This window comes from Homo sapiens, chromosome 2, assembly GCF_000001405.40.
Source record: "Homo sapiens chromosome 2, GRCh38.p14 Primary Assembly".
In the NCBI taxonomy this organism is placed as follows: Eukaryota; Metazoa; Chordata; class Mammalia; order Primates; family Hominidae; genus Homo; species Homo sapiens.
The window spans coordinates 147,738,805-147,759,912 of record NC_000002.12 but is presented as its reverse complement, the minus strand read 5'-3'; the positions used below and the strand labels follow the sequence as shown (position 1 = coordinate 147,759,912).

The 21,108-nt window shown below is 37.5% G+C and overlaps 1 annotated feature.

The window, feature by feature from the left end:
• Positions 3,297–3,951: an enhancer, noted in NCBI's record as "OCT4-NANOG hESC enhancer chr2:148513531-148514185 (GRCh37/hg19 assembly coordinates)". NCBI's record gives its function as "activates a minimal SCP1, AML or CMV promoter by ChIP-STARR-seq in naive H9 embryonic stem cells {active_cell/tissue: H9 hESC(naive)}" and the evidence as "EXISTENCE:reporter gene assay evidence [ECO:0000049][PMID:30033119]".

Genomic DNA, 21,108 nt, shown 5'->3' with positions numbered 1-21,108 from the left:
TCTTGGCTACAGGAGGGAATGATAAAGGATGCTGGAACTGGCAGTGATCCAGTCTGGGGTTGTGGGGGCAGCGTGATGTTGCCTGAGTGCCTTTTGGGACAAGTGCTTTTCCATTTCAGCATTTCCCTAGGTTAAAATTGCCAAGGCCTTCATGTGTTTCTTGTGAAGTGCAGAAGCATCGTCTTGCTGCAGATCCAAATGACTACAATAAGTTGGATGTATTTTTGGCACCAGATAGATGTTCAATAATAGTTTTAATGATAGTTTCTGCAGCAATTGGGTTTACCCTGGAGGCTTCCCATCTCTGTAATGACTAGGGCCAAGCCTGCTTAGTTTATAAGATCTGGCAAAATTACAGGGTGAATTGGTAATGCCGTGGGCTGTTGTACAAATTATACCAGGTCTGTCTCCTGTATAGAGGCCTGAGGCGCTTTTCTGAGCCCACTGTCTCTAGAGCCTTCAAGAATACTTATTTCAAAGGAAGTGCTGCGGTCTTAGGAGTTCCAGAAGCCATACACCTAATGAAATAGAAGGGGACCCACAATGCCTAACTTGTAGAAGTATTTGATCTGCTTGAAATTTTTAAAAAAGTATTTGTTGAAACTGATACTTAGTAGAATGTCATAATTTTGTTTTCAATATAGTTTGGGAAAGTTCTTTTTAGCATATTATCTTAGCCAAGGAAAGAATTACGTGGGCCTCAAATCTATAAACTTTCAAACCAAGAGAGATTATGAAATTATTTTGGATGATTGGGGGAGAGGTCTTTCCAAAGAAAAGGTTTATCACATGGGTGATTTAAAACACTACTAGAATTGCCTCTCCAAGCAATGACCTAGAAATCTGACAATGTGATAATGAATTCCCAAACAAAACAAACAAACACAAAAATCACATTGGAACATCTCACAATTGGCAGGATGAAAACTGGCAACAATAACTTCTGGAAAAGTGAGTTGGATCTTATAGCATTAAAATGAGTTTGGGGACTATGACATGAAGTCAACACTTTCATGAGAATTTTGGAATGCTCAATTTCCCACAATCTCATCATTTCTCTGCCTGACAATCGTAATTATTCCTCATCAACTTGACAGTCAAATTTGCTTCCTGTAGTGATAATATACCTGCTACCATCCTGACCATATTGGAGAAATAGCTTTTACTTTGATAGATTTGCTCATTTTTGAAGCTAAATTTCTATGTTATTCTCACTACTCTCTTACATTATTCATTAACTAATCACTATTTGTGCTTTTGAGAGTGGTTTGTAACTTTGGAAGTAAAGAGGAGATACACAGTTGTCTCCCTGATCATAAAGCAAAGACTATTTTACTTAAGTCACAAATTAAAAATAATTAATTATATGGTCAAGGCATGATGTACTACTTCAGAAAATGTTGGACATTATTGTATGTTTCTCAAATATCCAAAGTCATTAACAAATCATAGTTAACACATGGGACATTATAGAGGAATCTAGTTCTGTACAAGCTGAGAAAATATGCATGGAACACTAAGACCAGGTCATATGATTAAAAAAAGAACAATAATAGAGAAAACAGAATAAAGTAAACAAAATTATAAAGATAGTTATAAAAATATTTTCTTTGTTACATATTCAATACATTTTTACACATCACTGAGAAGGTGACATTAGAAGAAGAAGGTACCTGCCTGAGGAAACGACTTACAGAACAGAGGAAACTGCCAGTGCAAAGGCCTTGAGGTGGGACCATGCCTGGAGTGCAGGAGGGGAGCAAAGAGGACTAGAGGCCAAGTCTGGGGCAGAGCGATGCCTGGGGAGAGTAGTAGGAAATGAGATCAGTAGGTGACTGGGGGCTGTGTAGGCCAATGTGGGGATTTTTGCTTTTACTCTGGAGGTAATGCGGGGGAGTGGGGGCTTGCAGTGTTTTTACATGATATGACTTAAGTTTAAATGTTGCAGCCTGGGTGCTGAGAATAGATTGTAGTGGGGATGGGCGGGATCAAGGAGATTCTTTAAGAGGCTAATGCAGGATGGTGGCTAGGATCAGTGGGAGCAGTGGAAGTGGTGAGAAGTGGTTGGATACTGGGTATGTTTTAAAAGCAGTGCTGTTGGAGGGATTGTTGGTGAACAAAAGATGGAAGTCAAGGTTGATTTTAGGGGAAAGAAGGGGTCTTTATTTATCTTAGATTTTTAGGCATGCTGTAACAAATTTCCACAAACTGGGTGGCTTAAAATGACAAAAATGTATTCTCTCACAGTTCTGCATGGCAGAAGTCCAAAATTAACGTGTCTGTAAGGCTCTACGTCCTCTGGAGGTTCTATGGGAGAATCCATGTTGTGTCTCCTTCAGCATCTGGTGGCTGTTAGCATTCATTGGCATTTCTCGGTGGCATCTCTCCAATCACTGCCTCCCTTGTCATGTTGCATCCTGCTTTTCTGTCTCTTAGGGTACTTGTCATTGAATTCAGGGCCCACCCAGGCAGTCTAGGATAATCTTTAGTTAAGAACTTCCACTTAATTACGTTTGCAAAGTCCCCTTTTCCAAATAAGGCAATATTCACAGGTCTCAGGGATTTGGGCTTGGACATATCTTTTTGGAGGCTACACCTGCCTGAGTTGTCAGATTAAATAATTGAATATTATTATTAAAGGTATTTATTGCATTGGTCATGTTAAATAATAGATAATTAAATCTCCACAAAAATCCAACATTCTGCTCAAATTTAGCCATTATCCTCATTCTTCATGAGATACGTTAATCCAAACTGTTAAAATATATGAATTATTCACATTTGAATTTTACTTTCTCTCCCTTTACTAATCTATAGTTTGCTAAGAAAGCATTTATTTATTCATTTATTCACCAGATATTTATTCAGTGTCTAGAGTGTGCAGTTCACTGTGCTAGGCAATTCAGAAATATAAAAATAATTAAGTAATTTCTATCATTAAAGAACTGATATGTAATAATTTGGCTCAAACTTGTGCTTATTCCCCCATACTCTGTACTCATGTAGCTTGTAAGCACACAGCTTACTTACAGATAGTGTTTTGTGAATGAGAACATGGGTGACTAATTCTCCTTTGCTAGTTAAGAATGATAATGGTCGCAAAATCTTTCTCTTGCTTTTTGTTTTGCAATCCCTGCCCCTCCTTACATTGAGAAAGTTGAAGCAATTATAAATTGTGAGCTTCAGGTTCCAAAAGTGCTTTAAATTGCAGGAACAAGACATCAGAATGAATACATAGTGGGTGGAATCAGTTTATTTGGAGGAGCTTTTCCTAGAAATAACCCATCCTACAGTCTGATTTGGAGAAGAGAGTTTACTGAAGGGACAGAAGTGCTGGGAAACAAGCACCACAAAATATAAGTAATGTAAAAGAAACTGTAATCTTGGAAATGGAGGCATGTTAGTGACAAATGGTCCTTATGGAGTTTAGGAAAGAAAAAGTTGGTGAGAGTATTTTTCAGTGTTTATTCATGCCCACTCAACAGGAGGAAGAGACTATATTTGATGTCACTAGTGACCTGATCACTTGAAAAGAGATGAATTCTCTGATCTCTAACAGCTTGATTTAAATAGTTTACAGCAGGGGTCCCCAACCCCTGGGCCATGGACAGTTAGGAACTAACTATGCCGCACAGGAGGAGGTGAGTGGTGGGTGAGCAAACAAAGCTTCATCTGTATTTACAGCTGCTCCCCATCACATGCATTACTGCCTGAGCTCAACCTCCTGTCAGATCAGCAGTAGCAGCACTATATTCTCTTAGAAGCGTGAACCCTATTGTGAACTGAGCATGTGGGGGATCTAGGTTGTGCACTCCTCATGAGAATCTAATGTCTGATGATCTGTCACTGTCTCCTGTCACCCCCAGATGGGACCATTTAGTTGCAGGAAAACAAGCTCAGGGCTCCCGCTGACTTTACATTATGTGAGTTGTATAATTATTTCATTATATATTACAATGTAATTATAATAGAAATAAAATGCACAATAAATGTAATGCACTTGAATCCTTGGTCTGTGGAAAACCTGTTTTTCACGAAACCAGTCCCTGGTGCCAAAAAAATTGGGGACTGCTGACTTACAACCTCCTTTGCAGCAAACCTGGACTCACAGAGTGAATACTCGATTGTTATTATAAGGAACTTGGAGACAGAGCCTGGTGCATAATATGAGTTTAACAAAGGTTGGCTATTATTATAATTTATTATTTTATTTTTCTTATTATTTCTTCCAGGGGATCAAACTTCAACAGCCTACTAGTTTTCTCCTTATGTTACAACAAGAATATTTCCTGACATTAGATTTTATCAAATATTTGTTGTCACATATCCCTGATTATTGTTTGTTTGTTCACACTAAAGCATGGTTTTGATTAAGCCCTTCTTCCTCAAACGCTTTTCAGTAGGTCAATGGTACCTATCAAATATTCTAAACTTCTTAAAGTCACATTCCAGACCTGTGTGTTACCATTTGGTTCCAACCTAATTCCAACCCATTTTTCCCACCACTCCACCATATTTTTTCTAGGCTGTCACCAAAATAGATTACTGATCATTCTTCCTTTGCAAAACGTAGGCTCTCCTACCTCTATGTTTTTGCCCCCGTGCCTTCTGCCTCCTGGAATAATCCAGCTTTCTACAGTTATTCATCCCCTATTAGAGTCCTCAAGGGCCAGCTCAAAGGACACCTCTTCCACCAAACGTTTCTAGTTTCCTCTGGCTGGAAATGAGTGCTGTAAAAGTCCTTCAGTTTTTTGGTCTGTTTTTGTAGTGTTTGCCATATCACAGTGATCTGCCTATATGTGGAAATATGATGTCACAGAAAGGAGCTAATGCTCTTTGGAGTCAAACAGACAAGTCCTACTAAGTAGCTTTATAAACTTGAACTGCTTACTTAAACTCTGTGAACTTAGTTTGTTCTCCTGTAAGTTGAGAATAATTATACCTACCCCGTAAGTATTAATAAAAGGATAAAACAGAATGTGCTATGGGTCTCTTGGTGTAGTCCTTGCCACATTATGTGAGCCCTATATATTTTAAATTATTATTTCATTGTTATTATTATGTCCTCTACTACTTACAAGATTATGATCATTTTGAATTCAAGACCATGCCTGTCTCGTTCATCTTTATATTATGCGTAGCATAGTGTCTTACACTTAGACCCTCGTTTGCTACATTTGTGCGTGTATGTATATTAGTTTTTGCCTTCTCAACTATGTAATAAGTTTCTAGAGTAGTCGTCCATTTATTACCTAGTTAAAGGCTGGTGTACTCTATATACAGCCAGGTAGGAATAAGACTTGTTCAGACGCCCTCTGCTAGGAGTAATGCTCACTTAGCTCATTCACTTTGGGCAACTGAATCTTGACTGCAGTTAGCTGGGGACTTGGGAACCACTTAGCCCAGTTAACATTCTTTAAGAAGGTATGAAGGAAATGTGTGTAATTAATCACTGAAACCATGCTATAAAATTAGTACTATTATAATTCAAATTAAGTTGAACATGAACATATATCCAACAAACTACAATGGATATTGAACATGATTCTGACAGCAACATTCATTCCCTTCACATGAGGAAATTGATGAAACCTTAGGTGAGTGTGAATCAGAGAAATGCCTCCGACCTAGTGTTGGTCCCTTTGCGTGGCTCCTTTCCCGGGTCCTACAGTCTGCATGTCCTACTTCTACCCGTCTCAGAATGAACATGCATTGCCTCAGAGTCTGGGTTATGACTAGAAGAGGATATTTGGTTGCTACATTTACAATCACACAAGACAATCTCTAAGTAGCACTTTATAAACCATTTTTTAGCTAATTGCATCAAATGTAATTTGTTTCAACTCTATAATTTCATCAAATATAAGGATTCTTGTGCTTCCCCTATACTCTGTAAAATCCTTTTCCCCATTTTGGTTCCTGGAGTGGGATTGTGCTTTGCAAGCATTGCTGCAGCTTAGAATCTCTGAGAGGTTTTGATCTGTTCTATATTGAGGGGTTGAAAGTCATTAGAAGTATTTCTGTGGCTTTTTGATATGAGGAAACAGCCACTGGTTGGATTCCACCTAGAATGATCCCGTGTTGTGTAGAAATCATTTTTATGGCTTCCTAGTGTCACTGTGGAATATTTTCTATGCCTACTTCTAATTCAGAAAATTTAAGCATTGATTGAGTACATGCCACTGTTAAACTCTCAATAAATAGTTATTGAGTAACTTTTGAGTTCTTGTTTTTATTCTTAGAGTTTGTGAGGTGTCTGAATCCTGTGAATAACAAAATCCCCAAATACTTGCTATCTAAATTTCATGGTATCTAAAAGTATTTTGTGACAGTCATGTAACCTACATATTACCCTCATAAAATGAAGCTTAGGCAATTATGTATCACTATGAAAGTGGAAAGATTATTAACTAATTTTGTTAAATCTGGTCCTGATAACATTATAGTATGAAGGAATGAATTCAGAGATGAAGGTGAGATGATGAAAGAAAATTAATAAGAAATTTGAAATAATTTAAACTTTTTCTCCAGTGGATTGTTCCCAATGTCTCTTTGTTAATTCTTCATCAGTCATGTGGTATACATTATACATGGTTTTGCAATGTTAAACTGTCTCTCCTATAGATATTGGGATTTATTTCTAGCAACAAAACTAGATTTTTGTTTGGAAAAGATAATTGTTGAAAGAGAAAAGGAGGTTATAATTCAATTGCCTTTTCACAGCTGGAGAGAAATTAATTTTAGCCAGTGTTAGAAAAATTAAGTTCTATAACATTTCTTTTGCTTTGAATAAATGCAGTATTAGCTTTGGTGGTGAGTCTCTTGTGTACCTGTTTCATTTTAACAAATGAGAGAAACTGAGAGATATTTAATGTCTAGCTCAAGGACACAAGGAGTTGTGATACAACTCAAATCTGTTGACTTCTAATCCAGGACATTTTTCACTACTTTTCATTCTTTTTATAGTTCTTTTAATTATAAAATCACCATAGAAAGGACTAATGGTATGGACTGAATGTTTGTGTTTCCCCAAAACTCAGATGTCAAAGCCCCAAATTCTCAGTGTGATGGTATTTGCAGATAGGACTCCTACAAAAGTATTTAGGGTTATATGAGGTCATGAGGATAGGGCCCTCATGATAGGACTACAGCTCCTTATAAGAAGAGACACCAGAAAACTTGCTGGTCCTCTCTCCATCATGTGAGAACACAGCAAGAAGGCAGCGATCTGTAAATTGGGAAGAGACCCCTTGCCAAAAACTGACCATGCTGCCACCCTGATCTTGGACTTCTAGCCTCCATAGCTGTGAGAGAACATGTTTCTGTTGTTTAAGTCACATAGTAGGTGGGATTTTGTTATGAGAGATGAGCAGCCAACAACCAATTAAAAAATACTTTTTTCATATGGCCAAATTCCGCTATTTTCCCATTGATTTGGTGATGTTGCAAGTACTGACATTACAGTTAGAAAGTAAGAAGTATACTTATCCCTGCAGTGCATGCTAAGTTTCTGCAACTTGCAAATTCACAGTTGTAGACAGAGGTGGATTGTATAATGTATGAGCAAATTCTGTTCTTGTGCCTGCCCTTGAGATGGGTCTGCTTAAGCAAACAAAGATTAATTTGATTAAAAAGAATATTTATTATGTCTTAAAATCATTATTTCAAATGAGAATATGTTATTCACTATTGAATGTTCAGGGCTAAATTAGGTGATTCCTAATTATCTTGGTCAAAGAAGTTAGTAGCAGAGTGAGTTTTGCATTCTTTATTCTGCAAGGCATTCATCCACATTATTACCCCAGCTTCCAATAAGATAAGAATTATTTGGCAGGGTAAAATTAGCTACAACAACTTCTGCCCAAACTAGAAACTTAACATTTAGGAAGGAACTAATATCAAAAGTGGTTGTTTCTATTCACACTTTTACATGGACTCTGTTCACGCCAGAAAAAAAAAAAGCTCTTGATTTTTCCTATTGTAAGTCAAATCTGGATGGGTAATGTATGTTTGAGGTGGGACACTGTGACTAAGTTTCGGTTTTGGATTAAGAACTGTCAGGAGAGGTCAACTTGTTTTTGTTTAAATCCAAAGTAAATGCATACAAGGACATTGATTGCATTGCTGACTGTGACAGAGAAATGTCTGGAAAGATTTTTAAAATGTACTGGTTAATAGTGGTTATCTCTGAGAAATGAGACTGTTGTGATATTGTATTTTTGACTTTATGTATTTCTTTATCATCACAATAATGTTAAGGAAAAGATAACCAGTAGGTTTTTTAAAGCTTTTTGCTAAAGCTATGGTTTTAAAACCAGTGAGTTTAAAATCAGAAATAAAATATATTTCCCTTTGGGAAAAAAGAGGCATTTAAGAAAGCAACAGTATAGAGACACCTATAATATAATATAGGTTATGTTAGAAAAATGGACCAGTACAGCAAAAACAAAATCTCAAACTCTCCAAAATACTTATTTTGAGAGTTTTTTTCCTGTATCGCAAGAGTGCTTGTATATTAATAACAATAATGACATGTCCTATCAGAGTTTTGCAGCTTACCAATTAAAAGACACTCTCTCATTTGAGCTCAACAAGGATGCTCTACAGTAGGGAGGGCAAACATGGCTTTCTTCATCTTACTTGTGATGTAACTGGGGCTCACAGAAATTAAGTGAATTGTCCAGGTTGAAAGGGTAAGAAATGGTTGAATCAGAAGTTAAAATAAAGTGCAGTATTCTTTCCTGTATAGAACTCTACATTCACTATTGCCACTTACCTCCCATTCTCTCCTGAAAATCCAATCACGTTTTCATGCTTACCACTCCAGTGAACTCACTCTTACCAAGGCCACCAAGAACCTCCATCTTGCCTTAACGATGGTCAATTTTCAGTCCTTATTTCACTTGACCTCTTGGAGCTCTCCTTCTTTAAATTTTCAAAAATACTTTTTGAATAGGTAGTACATGTATATGCTATAACATTCAAAAGATACAAAAGGGTATGAACTGAGAATAAGTTTCTCTTCTATCCCACACAGTTCTCATGCCCAGAAGTGACCTTGTAACTAGATTATTGTGTATCCTTTGAGATATTCTAGGCATATACAATGATATATTTTTTATTCCTTTGTTTTCTTATATAAAAGATAGGTAACATACTAAAGATATTAACATACTAAAGATATAAACTTTGACTTGTTTAATTCAGTCATATATCTTCAGGAGCCTTCCATATTGTACCTATAGAACTACCTCATTCTTTTTAATAACTGAATAGTATTTCATTTTCAAGATGAAGTGTAATTTATTTAAATAGTTCTATGATGATATATATTCAAATTGGTTTAATCTTTTGCTATTGAATTTAATTTGGGAATCTATGTCCTAGCTTGTTTGTCATTTTGCATATCTCTAAATATACTATAGGATGAATTTTGAGAAATAGAATTGCCTAGTCAAAGAGTATATTTACACCAGAAATTTTGCTATTGCCAAGTTGTTCTTGAAAGAGAATGTGCCAATTTATACACCACCTCCCACCACAATATCTGAGACTGTTTCCCTATAGCCTCACCAATATAGTGCGTTATTAAACTTGTGATTTTGTTAATCTGATGGGTAAACAATAGTATCGCAATGAAGTTTAAATTTTGTTTTCTCTTATTTGAGGGAGGCTGAATATCTTTTCGTTTCCAAGAGCCATTTGTATTTTATTTTTTATGAACAATCCTTTACTCATTTGTTTTCTTCTGGATGTTGCTACCACACTGGTTGATCTCAGTCTCTTGGCTGGGTCTTCCTCTTTTATAGATCTCTAAATGCTGGAATGTCCCAGTGCTCTGTCTCCAGCTTTTTTTTTTCTTTATTTTTCTCCTAATTATCAAATGAGTTTCTCCTATTCTATATAAGTTTCTCCTCTTCTATATAAGAGGTGATGCTTTCCAAACTTACAACTCCAATTCTGGCCTCTTGCCCAGACTTTTGTCAACTGCCTGCTCAACATCGCCTAGTTTTCTAATAGGCATCTCAAATTTAATATGTCTCAAGTATAACTCTTGATTAACCCCCTTCCACTCCAAGTACTTTCCATTTCACTAAGGAGATCTGCCATTCCAGCAGCTGATCAAGATAAAACATAGAAGTCATCTTTAATTTCTCTTTTTCTCACTCTCAATAGCCAATTCATCGGTAAGCCTACCCAGCTCCACCAGTAAGCCTACCCAGCTCCACCTTTAGAATATATCCTGAAACCTACCAATTCTAATTACTACCTCTGCTATTATCCTTTCTCTTGCTACTGCTGCTTCCACTATGCCAACCCAGTCCTCCTAACATCATTACTTATCTAGATGAATTAGATAACCTTCAGTTCCCAATCTTGTCTCTTTCTAGTTTATTTTCCACACAGCATTCAAGACGAGCTTTTAACAAGTCACATCATGTCACATGACTGTTAAGAAGTAGCCAGTGACTGTCTATCATACTTATAACAAATTCCAGCCTCCTTTTATGGTCTAGGTGATCTAGCGTCTACCTACCTTTGTGATTTTTATCTCTCGTCATTTCTTTCTGTAGTTTCCAAACTGGTGTTCTTGTTATTTTTGAATACTCTAAGCTCATTCTTCCCTTAGAACCTCTACATTCTCTGTTTCTTCCGTTGGAGTTCCCCAGATAATTGCATACCTTGCTTCCTCTTCCATTTTGGTCTCAAACACTACCTTCTTAGAGGGGTCACCCTCTCTGAAGTATCCCCCTCATATGCCACTTTAACTTGTTTTATTTTCCTTTTACCTGCCATTTACTAAATTATATTACACGATCATATGATTATTGCCAATTTCTCTTAATTTATTGTACGTTGCATGAGGTCAGGATTTTATCTTTGCTCATGGTAGAATCTCCAGCACCTAGAATAGTGCCTGGGACATAGTAAGTACTCAATAAATATTTACTGAATAATAGATAATTACACATTTCAAAGATCTTGGACCAGTTTCCAAGTACCAAACACAATGTATTTTAACCTCAAATATAACTGCAATCTCTTCTTTTCCTCCCTTCATCCCTTCCTTCATCTTTTATTTTAAAAATATACTGCATAATTATTTTATTTAATGTTATGGTACATTATTGAGATATGTATTTTTAAGCTGTGGTGTATTACTGAGATATAAAGTTTTTTTTTTTCTTTGTAATACTGAAGAAAGATTTCTGATATTTCAGATTTGTGGTGAGGAGAAGCAGCAACATATGTTAGAAGGAATTTTAGAGGGAGAAGGTTTGAGTATTATTTTCATCTTCACCACTGGTTAAAGTAACCACTGTGGCCAAGTTAATTTCGCTGCTCAGAATTTTAATAACTGTAGTATGAAGCTAAAAGCAATGTAAGTTTATAAAATATCAGCTTTTATGGAGTGGCTATTTTGTTCCATGTATAATATTACCATTGAGGTAGATACCATTATCATTCCTGTTTTAAAGATGAGAGAAGTGAAGCACAGAGATTTATAATTCTTGTCCAGTGTTTCATGGCTAGTAAGTAAAGGAGCCGGTCTATCTATTTGACCAAAACCTAAGTGGTTGGAGAATGTTCTGAAAACTAATGAAGCAATTCCCATTTTTCCTTTCTACCCTGTGTATGGGTACAATGTGTGAATTCATATGGATATGAAATCATGGATATGAAATCATATGGATATGAATTATGTTCCCCTTGTTTTCTAGTTTCATGGTGTAACATTGGTAGAAAGCTGAAATAATCCATGGAGAACAGTGTCTGATATAAAGAATCGTGGTTGTCAAGAGATTTTCATGGCCCATTAGATCAGGAGCATTTTGAGAGCCATTCAGGACTGTGGCTTATTCATTTCTTTACTCGTAGCACTTACAGCACATACAGGGACTAGTATGTAGAATGTGTTCAGTGAATGTTGGTGGAAGAAATGAATGAATAATCTGATTGTGGTGGGAGGTGATAGACATCATGCCAGAGAGGATTCATAGCCACAAATTATTGATTCAACAAATAGTTATTGTTTAGAGTGTAAGCTCACCCTACAGTCTATGTTCCAGGTCATTTCCAATTTTTAGCAGAGGGCAGGGTTCTTGAGGCACTCTGATTCCTTGACTCCACAGCACTGTTGCTATGGAGTCCATTCTTTTGGATGGAGCCACTGCATTGTCTGCTGTTTTGAGGCTGTTTTTTTGTTAGGGTTATTTTTGTTTTTTAGAGGAACAATCCAGAGAGCCAAAGGCTCTGCTTGCTAGTTCACCTCTTATACTTGTGGAGGACTAATAGGCTATTGTTTTGCTTCAGTACTCAATGCCAGTAATGATATTGTTGTTTTTCTGGGTGTCTTAGTTCATTTTCTGCGCTATAACAGAATATCACAGACTGGGTAATTTATAATGAACAGAAATATTTTGACTTATGATTCTGAAGCCTGGGAAGTCCAAAGGCATGGCACTGGCATCTTTATGAGCCTTTGTGCTGCATCATAACATGGTGGAAGGGCAAGTGAACATATAAGACAGGGAGAGGAAATCAGGCCAAGCTCAACCTTTACATCAGGATACTGCTCCCACAATAACTAACCACTTACATGATAACAGCATTATCCATTCATGAGGGCAGAGCAATCACGACATAATCACCTCTTAAAGGTCTCATCTCTTAATACTATTACAATGGCAATTAAAATTCAACATCAGTTTTGGAGGGGACATTCGAACCATAGTATTCCATCTCTAGTCCTCCCAATATTCATGTCCTTCTCACATACAAAGTACATTCATTTCATCCTAGTAGCTCCCAAAGTCTTAATTTGTTCTACATCAACTCAGAAGTCCAAATTCCAGAGTTATCTAGATCAGATATGAGTGCGAATGAAGGCATGATTTTCCTGAAGCAAATACATCCAGCTGTAAGCCTGTGAAATCAATAAGATTATCTACTTCGAAAATACAATGATAGGACTGGAATAGGATAGACATTCCCATGCCAAAAGGGAGAAATAGGAATGCAAAAAGGGGTAACTGGTCCCAAGTAAGTCCAAAACCCGACAGCATGAACAACATTAACTCTTAAAGCTGGATGATATTCTTGGTTGGCTGTTTCACATCTTGGACACATTAGTGTAGGGGCTGGGCTTCCAAGGCCTCAGGCAGCACTGCCCCTTATGCCTTGTTGGGCTTAGTCCACCCAGTAGCTGTCATGGGTTGGAATCTTGTGTCTGTAGCTTTTCTACGCTAATGTTGCATGCTGCTGGCCCTAGAGTTCTGGGGTCTCTGAGGTGACCTTTCTCCCACAGCTCCATTAATCATTGCCCTAGTGGGGACTCTATGAGGTGGCTCCGCTCCTGTGACAAGCCTCTGCCTGGGTTCCCTGATGGTACATGGCATCCTTTGAAATCTAGGTAAAGGTAGGTATGGCCCCCACAGCTTTCATATTCTGTGAGCCTACAGACTTCATACCATGCAGATGCTGCCAAGGCTTGCTGCTTGCACCTTCTGGAGCAGTGGGCTGAGCTTCACCTGAGTCTGTTTAAGCCATGGCTGAGGTAGTTGAGGGGCACTACACCAGAATACAGGGAGCAGAGACCTGAGGCAGCCCTGGGCAGCCTTGAAGATCTCTAAAATGCTTTCAGAATCTCTCTCCCATTGTTTTAATGAACAGCACCTGAATCCCTTCTATTCATGTGAATCCCTTTAGCAAACTGTCATTTGGCTGAGTCCTTGGTATTCTCTCCTGAACATACTCTTTCATTCTTTACATGGCCAGGATGAAATTTTCCAAATCTTTCAATTATGCTTCTCTTTTATTTATTTATTTATTTATTTATTTTTTGTCTTTCTTTTTTTTCTTTTTTTTATTATTATACTTTAAGTTTTAGGGTACATGTGCACAATGTGCAGGTTAGTTACATATGTATACATGTGCCATGCTGGTGTGCTGCACCCATTAACTCGTCATTTAGCATTAGGTATATCTCCTAATGCTATCCCTCCCCCCTCCCCCCACCCCACAACAGTCCCCAGAGTGTGATGTTCCCCTTCCTGTGTCCATGTGTTCTCATTGTTCAATTCCCATCTAAGAGTGAGAACATGCGGTGTTTGGTTTTTTGTCCTTGCTGTAGTTTACTGAGAATGATGATTTCCAATTTCATCCATGTCCCTACAAAGGACATGAACTCATCATTTTTTATGGCTGCATAGTATTCCATGGTGTATATGTGCCACATTTTCTTAATCCAGTCTATCATTGTTGGACATTTGGGTTGGTTCCAAGTCTTTGCTATTGTGAATAGTGCCACAATAAACATACATGTGCATGTGTCTTTATAGCTGCATGATTTATAGTCCTTTGGGTATATACCCAGTAATGGGATGGCTGGGTCAAATGGTATTTCTAGTTCTAGATCCCTGAGGAATCGCCACACTGACTTCCACAATGGTTGAACTAGTTTACAGTCCCACCAACAGTGTAAAAGTGTTCCTATTTCTCCACATCCTCTCCAGCACCTGTTGTTTCCTGACTTTTTAATGATCGCCATTCTAACTGGTGTGAGATGGTATCTCATTGTGGTTTTGATTTGCATTTCTCTGATGGCCAGTGATGATGAGCATTTTTTCATGTGTCTTTTGGCTGCATAAATGTCTTCTGAGAAGTGTCTGTTCATGTCCTTCGCCCACTTTTTGATGGGGTTGTTTGTTTTTTTCTTGTAAATTTGTTTGAGTTCATTGTAGATTCTGGATATTAGCCCTTTGTCAGATGAGTAGGTTGCGAAAATTTTCTCCCATTTTGTAGGTTGCCTGTTCACTCTGATGGTGATTTCTTTTGCTGTGCAGAAGCTCCTTAGTTTAATTAGATCCCATTTGTCAATTTTGGCTTTTGTTGCCATTGCTTTTGGATTCACAGCCAAAGTCTACCAGAGGTACAAGGAGGAACTGGTACCATTCCTTCTGAAACTATTCCAATCAATAGAAAAAGAAGGAATCCTCCCTAACTCATTTTATGAGGCCAGCATCATTCTGATACCAAAGCCAGGCAGAGACACAACCAAAAAAGAGAATTTTAGACCAATATCCTTGATGAACATTGATGCAAAAATCCTCAATAAAATACTGGCAAACCGAATCCAGCAGCACATCAAAAAGCTTATCCACTTATCCACCATGATCAAGTGGGCTTCATCCCTGGGATGCAAGGCTGGTTCAATATACACAAATCAATAAATGTAATCCAGCATATAAACAGAGCCAAAGACAAAAACCACATGATTATTTCAATAGATGCAGAAAAGGCCTTTGACAAAATTCAACAACCCTTCATGCTAAAAACTCTCAATAAATTAGGTATTGATGGGACGTATCTCAAAATAATAAGAGCTATCTATGACAAACCCACAGTCAATATCATACTGAATGGACAAAAACTGGAAGCATTCCCTTTGAAAACTGGCACAAGACAGGGATGCCCTCTCTCACCACTCCTATTCAACATAGTGTTGGAAGTTCTGGCCAGGGCAATTAGGCAGGAGAAGGAAATAAAAGGTAGTCAGTTAGGAAAAGAGGAAGTCAAATTGTCCCTGTTTGCAGACGACATGATTGTATATCTAGAAAACCCCATCGTCTCAGCCCAAAATCTCCTTAAGCTGATAAGCAACTTCAGCAAAGTCTCAGGATACAAAATCAATGTACAAAAATCACAAGCATTCTTATACACCAATAACAGACAAACAGAGAGCCAAATCATGAGTGAACTCCCATTCACAATTGCTTCAAAGAGAATAAAATACCTAGGAATCCAACTTACAAGGGATGTGAAGGACCTCTTCAAGGAGAACTACAAACCACTGCTCAATGAAATAAAAGAGGATACAGACAAATGGAAGGACATTCCATGCTCATGGGTCGGAAGAATCAATATCGTGAAAATGGCCATACTGCCCAAGGTAATTTATAGATTCAATGCCATCCCTATCAAGCTACCAAAGCCTTTCTTCACAGAATTGGAAAAAACTACTTTAAAGTTCATATGGAACCAAAAAAGAGCCTGCATCGCCAAGTCAATCCTAAGCTGAAAGAACAAAGCTGGAGGCATCACACTACCTGATTTCAAACTATACTATAAGGTTACAGTAACCAAAACAGCATGGTACTGGTACCAAAACAGAGATATAGATCAATGGAACAGAACAGAGCCCTCAGAAATAATGCCGCATATCTACAGCTATCTGATCTTTGACAAACCTGAGAAAAACAAGCAATGGGGAAAGGATTCCCTATTTAATAAATGGTGCTGGGAAAACTGGCTAGCCATATGTAGAAAGCTGAAACTGGATCCCTTCTTTACACCTTATACAAAAATCAATTCAAGATGGATTAAAGACTTAAACGTTAGACCTAAAACCATAAAAACCCTAGAAGAAAACCTAGGCATTACCATTCAGGACATAGGCATGGGCAAGGACTTCATGTCTAAAACGCCAGTTCTGCTTCTCTTTTAATCGTAAATTCTGTCTTTAGGGCATCTCTTTGCCCTCACATCTCATTGTATGTGGTTAAAAGTAACTATGCTGCAGATTAAATGCTTTGTTTCTTAGATATTTCTTCCATCAGATATCCTAGTTTATCACTCTTAAGTTCTGCAATCCATAAAGTCCTAGGACACAAATACAGCTCTGTCAAGTTCTTTGCAACTGTATAACAAGGATGGCCCTCACTCCAGTACCGTGTTTTTTATTTCCATCTTAGACTTGATCCAATGAACTTTGCCTTCTATATTTCTATCAACATTCTGATTATGACCACTAAAGTAATCTCTAAGAAGTTTCAGACTTTCTCTACAGTGCTTCTCTTCTTCCAAGCCCTTAATGCTCCACTCATAGCAGTCAAAGCTTTTTCTAGCCTGTGCCTCCAAATTCTTCCATTCTCCAGCCATCTACCAGTTCCAAAGCCTCTTCTAGAATTTTGATATTTGTTACAGCAACAACCCTTCTCTGGTACCAATTTTCTGTCATAGTCTGTTTTCTGCTTCTATAACAGAATTCCACAGACTGGGTGGTTTTTGTAATGAATAGAAATTTATTTGGCTCACAGTTCTGGAGGCTGGGAAGCCTAAGAGCATGATGCTGGCATCTCGCGAGGGATTCTGTGTTGTACCATAATATGGTGGAAAGGCAAGTGATCATGAAGGACAGACAGAAAAAATAGGACTGAACTCATCCTTTTGCTCAAGAATGCATGATCTCAGTAACTACTCCAGAGATAATGGCATTGGTCTATTCATGAAGGCAGAGCCCTCATGACCTACTTAAATATCTCACTTTTTAATACTGTTACAATGGCAATTAAATGTCAATATGAGTTTTGGAGAAAGTATTCAAAACATAGTTCTGGGCCTACCTTGATAATTTGCCTGATATAGCAGTTGCTGTAGAATACATATAATTTCTAGAGTCTTATCCCTGGTCTCCTAACTCTTGTGGCTGAAAACTTGATACTTGATAGCAGACCTAAGCACCTCTTCTCCTAGACCTTTACTTATTGCCTTCTGCCTAACTCCTTAAAACTTCTCTGTCATCTCAGGTTTCCTTCCTTAATGCCATATCTGTGTCTCCAGGTCCTGCCAACTGGAGTTGCCACCCACTCACTCCCTGTTTGACTCTTTATATGGAGGTACAATGAGTGAATGACAAAGTCACCTTGGATCTCTCTTGATGGGGGAGTGAACCTAGAGGTAAAAAAATCATGGAGATGAAGGAGGAGCGGATGGAAGAAGCTTTTTTTCCTTCATCCTCTCCAAGAGTTTCATGAACATTAAGTGCTTTGAACTCTATAGGTTGATTTCTGTCTTATGGAATGTCGCCAACACATTCTGAATGGCCCAGAGTTCACTTTCATTATTTAGATGTTTCATGTAAGTTAGTTGTCTCTTCTCAACAAGATGATAAGTTTCTTATGAGTAGGTATCATAAGTCTTCTTATTTCAATATCAGTGCAACTACCATTTTTTGAGCACTTACAATATGCTAGCTGCTGTGCCAAGTGTTTTATTTACATTATCTTAGTATTTAGAATAATTTTTAAGGAAAGCATAAATATTCCTATGTCACTGGAGAAAAAACTAGAACATAGTGGAGTTGTAATTTAAATCCGTGTATGTCTGCTTCCAAATACTTTTTTTGTTTTTTGAGATGGAGTTTCGCTCTTGTTGCCCAGGCTGGAGTGCAGTGGTGCAATCTCGGGTCACTGCAACTTCTGCCTCCCTGGTTAAAGTGATTCTCCTGCCTCAGCCTCTTGAGTAGCTGGGATTACAGGTGTACACCACCATGCCTATCTAATTTTTTTATTTTTAATAGAGACAGGGTTTCACCATGTTGGCCAGGCTAGTCTCGAACTCCTGACCTCAGGTCATCCACCTGCCTCAGCCTCCCAAAGTGCTGGCATTACAGGCGTGAGCCATTGCACCCAACCCAAATACTTTCTTAAACAACAAAACACAGCACTGAGTGCAATCAGAGAATAATCTTTGACTTTGACTTTAGAAAAAAGTGTTTTAAAAATTATTCTTCCTCATACCCATCAAGATGGCTACTATCAACACTTGTTAATAGAAAATTACAAGTTTTGGTGAGGGTGTGGACAAATTGGAAGCCTGGTGCACTGTTGGTGGGAATGTAAAATGATGCAGCTGGTATGAAAAAAGTATGGCAGTTCCTCAAAATATGAAAAATAGAATCCCCATATGATCCAGCAATTTCACCTCTGAGTATATATCCAAAAGAATTAAGAGCAGGGTCTCAAAGAGATATCTGTACACCATATTCATAGCAGCATTATTCACAATAGCCAAAAAGTGAAAGCAACTCAAGTATTCACTGATGGATGAAAGGATAAACAAAATGTAGCATATGCATACAATGGACTACTATTCAGCCTGAAAATGGAAGGAATTCTGACACATACTATAGCATAGATGAACCTTGAGGACATTAGGCTAAGTGACATAAGCCTGTCACAAACAGAAAAATACTGTATAATTCCACTTGTATGAAGTATCCAGAGTAATCAAATTCATGGAAACAGAAAATCGATTGGTTGTTTTCAGGCATTGTAGGGAGGGAAAAATCAGGGGTTGTTGTTTAATGGCTACAGAGTTTCAGTTTTGCAAGATGAAAAGTTCTGAGGATTGATTGCACAACAATGGGAATATACTTAATACTGACCAGTACACTTAAAAGGGCTAAGATGGTAAATTTTACATCATGTGTATTTTTTCACAATTAAAATAATATTCTTACACATAGTATTTCATGAACTGAAATACTATATAGTATTGTACTATGTCCAATAATACATACACAATGTAATTTTGCTATTGAAGGCAGTAGTTCTAATGATGAGAGTGGTCAAAATCCTTACATAATGCAATTGTTCTGAATTCTGGATTTAAGATATGACTATACAAAGACGTGTCTGGGCACATTAAAACAATTTTTGCAAAGATCATCATGGTGTTGAATAGTGATTAAGAAAAACTGGTAAAAATTTAAAACATTGCATCATGTCTCTACAGCTTAGTTGAAAGTGTTTTTCTTTTTTGTGTGTGCAAATGCATACATGTTATGTTCATGCAGAGACACAGCTACCTCACACATACTCTCTTTAACTTCCTCTGAAAACATGTATTATTTAATGAGTCAGTGCCTCTGCTGTGTGACAATTGTGCTTGTCTACACTTCCCTGTCTCATATCTAAAAAAATTATATGTCTGGTGCCAAATATCATGGTCAGACTTACCTGTAGGGCTTTTAAAATGCATATGTGTCATTATGTTTGAAAATAATATCTCCTGTAGCTTCCATACTGTATTAAGGCATAGGAGACATCTACATTTCTAGTGGGAAAATGCTTTTTGTTATTTCATAGCTTTTTGGTATATTGAATACATAATTATATTGTCTGTTATTTTCCATTAATGAAGGTTTGTATTGCTTTGTTTTTTATAATATCATGATGGACTATTTCAGACTCTTAAAATGCCAGTAATTGTGAAGTGTTTCCGATGGATAGAGTGTAAATAGATGCCTGTGGATTTGACAGGAAGCTGGGAAGTTTCCCTGCTCAAAGATATAGCCCTACTGTGGATAGTTGAAATGCCACTGATAATGATTCATTGCTTTCTGTTGAGCTTTTTCCTCATATAGTGGCTCTTTTCTGAATTGCAAATACTCCAGGGAGGTATAACATACTGTGTAACTCACACCCTATTATGAAATAATTGATCGTATCTTTTCTATCAGAAGAGAGACTAGAGGGGAAGTACTGACAGAGGACTCGTGAAAGAAGACTACCTAAGGATGGTCCTGATCAGATAAGTATAGGCTGCAGAAGATTTTCCCTTCTATCTAAACAGATAGCTAAGTTCCAGTCCTTTTTAAAAACAAGTTTCTCAATTGCAAGTTTAAGCTTTGTCGATAGACGCAAAGTGAAATGGAAATCTGGGACAATTATCCAAATTATTTCATTTTTAAAAACCTTCATTAAGGCTAAACAGGGAGCTTTAGCTTAAATTATTCAGCTGGACTAGTTACATTAAAATTATCTCAAATTGCCTTGCTCCCTCATTCACCTTATCTGTTTAGAGAGGCAGACCTTAGGCTGTGTCTGCTTTACCCTGTATGGATTGATTTGGGGACAAAAAATTCAATTAATTCTATTCACATTGGATCGTCTTAGCATTGCACAAATGGCAAGTGAATGCTGCCCCATTCCACTGTAAAGCTTGGGAGGGTCTGAGTCTAACACATTTAATGATCTTAGTTCAGCTGGTTCACTGTGCATCTGTGTGAGTTTCCACTTGGCATTTTATTTTAAATATGTTACCTTCAAAAATGGCTTTGCTTTGAGACAATCAAAAAAGCCAGTTCATTGTTTGAGGAGCAAACAAAAACAAATTGAGCCAATGTGTTGCTAGCTAACACCTACTGTGTACTTACCATGCACCTGATACTTACTCTCTCATTAATCTGAGGGCAATTGTAAATGGTGCACAGACTTCATCCCTAGCAGTTTGGGGCTATAAGTCCATGTGCTTAAGTGCACA